This window comes from Homo sapiens, chromosome 14, assembly GCF_000001405.40.
Source record: "Homo sapiens chromosome 14, GRCh38.p14 Primary Assembly".
NCBI classification, from domain to species: Eukaryota; Metazoa; Chordata; class Mammalia; order Primates; family Hominidae; genus Homo; species Homo sapiens.
Window position 1 is genome coordinate 25916917 of NC_000014.9, and position 6936 is coordinate 25923852.

Sequence of the window (6936 nt, forward strand, 5' to 3'; positions counted from 1 at the left end):
CTTGGGTGCAGTTAAAGGCATTCAGTTTTATAAGAAAAGCAGAGCATAAAAGTTCAGAAAATTTGCAGCCTGACAATGTGACAGAAAAGAAAAACCCATCTTCTAAGTAGATATTCAAGCCAGCTGCAGAAATGTGCATAAGTAACAAGGAGCCAAATGGTAATCCCCAAGACAATGGGGAAAATGTCTCTAGGGCATGTCAGAGGTCTTCACAGCAGCCCCTCCCATCACAGGCCTGTGGGGGCCTAGGAGAAAATGATTTCATGAGCCAGGCCCAGGGTCTCTGTGCTATGCTGTGTGCAGCCTAAGGACTTGATGCCCTGCCCCACAGCTGCTCCAGCTGTGGCTGAAAGGGGCCAACATAGAGCTCAGGCCATGGCTTCAGAGGATGCAAGTGCCAAGCTTTGGCAGCTTCCACATGGTGTTGAGCCTACAAAGGCACAGAAGTCAAGAACTGGGGTCTGGAAACCTCTGCCTAGATTTCAAAAGATGTTTGAAAATGCCTGGATGCCCAGGCAGAAGTTTGCTTCAGGGGCAGGGCCCTGATGGAGAACCTCTGCTAGGGCAGTGCAGAAGGGAAATGTGGAGTCAGAGTCCCCACACAGCATCCCTACTGGGACACCCCCTAGTAGAGCTGTGAGAAGAGAGCTACCATCCTCCAGCACCCAGAAAGGTAGGTCCGCTGGCAGCTTGCATAGTGCACCTGGAAAAGACGCAGACACTCAATGCCAGCCTGTGAAAGCAGCTGGGAGGGAAGCTGTACCCTGCAAAGCCATGGGGGCTTCCCAAGACCATGGGAACCCACCTCTTGCATCAGTATGACCTGGATGTGAGACTTGGAGTTAAAGGAGATCATTTTGGAGCTTTAAAATTTGACTGCTCCACTGGGTTTTAGATTTGCATGTGCCCTGTAACCCCATTGTTTTGGCCAAATTCTCCCATTTGGAAGGGCTATATTTACCAAATACCTGTACCCCCATTGTCTCTAGGAAGTAGCTAGCTTTTGATTTTACAGGCTCATAGGTGGAAGGGACTTGCCTTGTCCCAGATGAGACTTTGAACTGTGGACTTTTGGGTTAATGGTGAAATAAGACTTTGGGGGACTGTTGGGAAAGCATGATTGGTTTCGAAATGTGAGAACATGAGATTTGGAGGTGCCAGGGGAAGAATAATACGGTTTGGCCTGTGTCCCCACCCAAATCTCATCTTGAATTGTACTCCCATAATTCTGTATTGTGGGAGGGACCTGGTGGAAGATCTTTTGAATCATGGGAGCAGTTTTGCCCATATTGTTTTCATGGTAGTGAATAAGTGTCACGAGATCTGATGGTTTTATCAGGGGTTTCTGCTTTTGCATCTTCCCCATTTTCTCTTGCTCCCACCATGTAAGAAGTGCCTTTTGCTTCCCACCATGATTCTGAGGCCTCCCCAGCCATGTGGAACTGTAAGTCCAATTACACTTCTTTTTCTACCCAGTCCAGGTATATCTTTGTCAGCAGCATGAAAATGGACTAATACAGTCACAAACACATAGAACTTAGCAATTGATGAAACTTACACATACAGGTAGGTGTCCATTTTTCTTTTAAATTAATTAAGATGTAAAACTTAAAAAGAAAACCAAGCCGATAGAAAAATTATAAGTCTCAATGTTGAAGGAAAGAAGTCAGATAAAAGAGGGTAAAACAAATCTTAAAGAAACAGGGAAATGATGCAGTGGAGGAGAGGAAAGTTGAGTAAACTCACCAAAAATACCATCATTCTTCTTAGCAAAGGAAGGAGAGTAGCTGGCATGACACAGAATAACTGAGATTTAAAGAGCAAGAGACTAACCAGTTAGAACAGTGATAAAAGCATATTATGAAGTAAAAAAGGGAGAAACAATAGATGGTGGTAGAGGACTTAGGGTTATGTCATAACTAGCTCAAAATATGAATATTATTTTATAATTCTGCCTTTTGTAATAATCCATTTTGACAGTCCAGCCACTATTGTTAGAGAAAGATTATCAGAATATTGCAATGAAGAATTCAATGTCTTAAACTACTACCAATAGAACCAAAGCTCTCCATCGAATTTCTTGACAGAGTTATGAGAACCAAGTAAAATATATCTGCAGACTTAATCCCGCTCACAGGCAACTGGTGTGTCACCTTTACTTTGGAGCCATTCAATATATATAAAAATTATAAAGAAGGACTTTGTTCCCTCCCCATCATCTCCTCCAATGAACATCATTGCAAATCCAGAAATGGAGCCAGTGAAGGCTGGGAAATCTCACTATTCTTCGAAGTTTATTAAGCATATTCATTTGTTTATGTCATAGTGATATACTCATTATTCTAAAACTAATGTGATTAGCCCTCAACAATTATGTGTCAATAGAAGTGATACCAAAATTAAAAATTGATGAGTTAAAAAAAAAACAAGAATGCAGTTGATTTGTCTGATTTTCATAGGACCTCTGACCAATGAAGGTTGAAAACAATGGGTATGCATGATAAAGTAAGTTCTGTTTCCCACTTCTTAGACTACCACAAATAAAGAGCTCTACCTTGTTGCATGCAGAGTTCTGTTTCTGATTATATACGCCTTGACTGATAGAAACTAGGATTCTGCTGGAGGAGTGCCTGTGGGGAAAAGAGATTTGATTTCATTGTTACACTTATTAGAAAACTAACTCAATTTAACAGCATTATCAACAGAAACTAAATGCTAAGTGTGTACAGATGACTCCACTAGGGTTTTTTTTTTAAACAGTCATAGACTAATAGCTTCAAACTAATTCCTTCAAAACAAATGTTTAATTCAGAATTCAAAAGAGATATGAGTTTCATCACTAGTGATAACTCTGGTACTTAAGCCTTATTCTCCAGAGTCACAAGTTAATGCTTAAGGAGAATAGAAGGGGGGATTTTATAGGAAGGGCCATGAAATGCTTCCTTTCTATACGGTGTTAAATATCAGGCCCAGGTAGTATGGATTCCCTCTCTCTACTGTTTCTTAATGTAGGGGGGAAAAAACTGGATTGCCTACTGTGAAATATGAGATAGTGACTCTTGTTGAACTTTAGTCTAACTACACTAGAAAAAAAAAGAAAACTTACAATGAAGATATTTCTACATTCTCAAGGGAAATTGTTCCTATGTCTAAGTGACCTTTTCTCGACGCATTTCTTTTAGTGTTTAACCTGAACCTCCTATTGTTTCAGTTTAATCCCATTTATCCTGGTTCACTCCCCAGTGGCCACACTGACTAAAAAGTAATGCTACCTCTGGGAATGAAGTTACAGTCTTGGATAGTTAGGTTTATCAAGTCTACCAGTGCAGGACAGGAGATAAGAGGAAATGTCTCACAAAGTCACACATGGTTCAAAATCCAATATAGGTGGCATTACACATTCAGTATTTATGAAAAATTATCTAAGCTAAAAACTAAATGTTTCAGTGGAAGTAAATAGAAAAACAAGAGAATGAGAGACTATTTAATATATCTGTATATTTTACAATGGTTCCCTAAAAATTTTCTAGAAGATTCTTACATCAGTACTTTTTAATTTCAGGAAAAGAAGCTTTAATAACCAGAATAGATTCACTGAGAATAATTCAAGTTAAGTAAACTTATTTTCTTATTTTATAGGTTTCTAGACTGATAAACTAGAGAAATGAACTATTTTTCCCAGGTCTCTGGTTCATTCCTACTTGTTTGGTATGGGATAATAGTGAAATGGTGAAGACTAAAGGAAAACAAGTTTAGGAGAAAGAATACATTAAATTCATGGTATCTTGAGATATACCTGTAGTGATGTGAGGTAGAGAGTTGAATACAAAAATGTGAAGATTAAAAGTATTGGTTGGAGAAATATATTTTGAAAAGGATGGAGAGGCAGGAGAAACAAAGTAAATGGAGAGGTAGAAAACAATTGGATCACGAGGTCTCTTAGAATTTGGAAAAGAAATGTTTCAAGATCATGGTAGTAAACTGCATTGTTGAGTTCTGCTAGGGAATTTAGTAAGGTCAGGAAAGAAACGTTTCCATTAAGTTTGGAAACACGGTATTTCTCTAATGACTTATTATTATGTCTTCAATGTAATTTTTCTCTTATTTGTAACTTCAGTTTCTCAGTTGTTACCTGAAATAAGTACAGATGAAGTTTGTCAAAAGTAATGTACATCTCTTTTTCTTATAGAATATCACTCGTTTGCCTGAGGAAAATTCACATCTTAATTACTTTGAGGAAATCTCCAAGTGCACTGACATTATCAATAGGTCAGTACAGGTCATTCCTTGCTACCTGTAGAAATGGACGCCCACCGTACCTGATGCCAATGAAACACAACTGTGGCACTCAATGCTGGAGACCTGTGATGCTTTTGTGAATAGAGAGGCAGATGGATCCCTCTGCTTATGCTACAATAAATCTGCTCGTATACAAAAGTATACAGAGGGTAGTGAGGCACCTCTATCATTTCACATACATTCAGTCCCATCCTCAGAAAGCACAACTATCTTCAGTATAGCTAGGCTAGCTTGACCTGTGGCTTGTCCTCCATTTCCATAGTTGGCAAATGTTAGACCTGTGTATACCACCAGCAAGTCTCCTTCTTCCCTATTGGGAAGTTCCACCTCTAGGGAGATTCTCATTATCCTTCCAGCAATCTGGTTTCCTTTATTGCCCTGCCAGTCCATCAGACGTATGTGAATATGGCAGAAGATGAATGGAGAACAGGGACTATGTGTCCCCTGCAGCAAACTTCTCAGCCCCTTTGCAAATTAGTGGTTACAAATGGGGAGGATGGAGTTTGTACAACTTCATCAGCATTGGAGCTCTCTCTTTCACCCATCTAAGACAAGTTGTTACTTACATTCACATCACTTCTGTGAAGTTTGAAGGGATTCTAAAAGAATCAATTTAAAATAAAAATGAACAGTTAAATAACTTGTCCAAAAGCACATAGCACATGAGTGAACGTGATGAGCTTTAAATCTAGATATAACTGACTTCAGACGTATATTCTTTATATAACAACTTTATTGAGGTGTACTTGTGCAATACACTGCACATACTTAGTGTGTACATTTTTGTAAGTTTTGGTATGCTATACACCCATGAAATTATCACCACAGGAAAATAAGCATATATATATATATATATAAAACAAAAGTTCCCTCATGTCTTTCTTTCTGCCCCTCCCTGACCACCACCCTCTGCATCTCAGGCAACTATTCATCTATTTTCTGTCTATTGATTAGTTTGCATTTCCTAGAATTTTATAACAATGAACATTCATAGCACACACTTTTTCCCTCAATTTCTCTCATTTAGCATGATTGAGATTATGTTGTTTGTATACAAACAGTTCATTCCATTTATTGCATAACAGGGTTCCATTATACTGATATGACTATTTATTCATTCACCAATTAATGAATATTTGGGTTGTTTCCAGTTTGGAACCATTGCAAATAAAGCTCCTATAATCATTAAAGTGCAAAATGCAATCTTCATTTGAAGATAATATGCTTTTATTTCTCTTGGATAACACAGTGGGTGTATGTTTAATTTCTTAAGAAACTGCAACACTGTTTTTCAATGTGGTTCTACCATTCTACATTCACACCAGCAGTGTTGAGAATTCTAATTCCTCTACATCTCAACCAATACTTGCTGTGATCAGTCTTTTCCATTTTAGCTATTTGAATAGGTGTGTTGGGGTATCTCATTATGATTTTTGTGTTTCCCTAATGACTAATGACAGCATCTTTTTTTGTGCACTCACTTGCTATTAGTGTATCTTCTTTGGTAAAGTGTCAATTCAACTCTTTTGTCCATATTTTATTGGATTGTTTTCTTATCGTTGATTTTTTGAAGCTTTGTGTGTTAATACAATCCTTTTATCAGATGTTTGATTTTCAACTACTTTCTACCAATCTGTGTCTCACCTTTTCATTCTCTAAACAGTGTCGAAGAGTAGAAATTATTAATGAAGTCTAATTAATATTGCTTCATGTATTATGCTTTTAGTGTCTAATCAATGAAGTCAGCCTAACTTGAGGTAACAAAGATTTTTCTCACGTGATTGTCTAGTTTTTAGTTTTCATTTTTACATTTACGTTTTTACATTGCATACATTTCATTTTTACATTAGGTAATATAATATATACCTAATATATAATTCACTTGGAATAATTATTGGTTTTGGCTCAAGTAAGAATTACGCAATTTGATAGGAAGACTATCGCTACTCCATTGAATTTGCCTTTGTTGTTGTCTATATAGGTATGAGTCTATACTAAACTTTCTATTCTGTTCCTTTCTACTTGTCTATATTTAAGCCAATTCCATACTTTCCTGATGACTAGCTTTATACTAGTCTTTTTATATGTTATGAAAATAACTATTTTTAGCTTCCCAGCATTTTTATTATTCAAAGTTGTTTGTGCTATTCTAGCTCTTTCATATTTTCATGTCTTTTGGAATCCATCAGTTTCTTCAGAAAAGCTTCCTAGGATTTTGATTGTGATACGATTGAATCTACATATCAAGTTAAGGAAAATTGATGTCTTAGTAATATTGACCCTTCTAACCCATAAACATGGTTATTTTTTCACTTAGTTTTTTTCTAGACAATGTTGTATAATGATTATCTCTAAGTAACGTTCTATATTTTTCAGGTTACAGATTTTTACATATTTTTGTCAAATTTATCTTACGTTTCTCATATTTTGGATGTTATTAGAATTGTTTTTGTTTTCTGTTATTCACTGCTAGAATACAGAAATGCAGTTGGGTTTTTGTATAGCTGATATTGGATCCTACAACCTTGCTAAGCTGACTTATTTGTTCTAGTACCGTTTTAGATATGTCATACATTTTCTACACAAATGGTAATGTCTGTGAATAGAAAGAGTTTTACTTCTTCCTTTGTAACTAGA

At 36.9% G+C, this 6936-nt stretch overlaps 1 annotated feature.

Moving 5' to 3' along the window:
* Positions 363-863: an enhancer, noted in NCBI's record as "H3K4me1 hESC enhancer chr14:26386485-26386985 (GRCh37/hg19 assembly coordinates)". NCBI's record gives its function as "activates a minimal SCP1, AML or CMV promoter by ChIP-STARR-seq in primed H9 embryonic stem cells {active_cell/tissue: H9 hESC(primed)}" and the evidence as "EXISTENCE:reporter gene assay evidence [ECO:0000049][PMID:30033119]".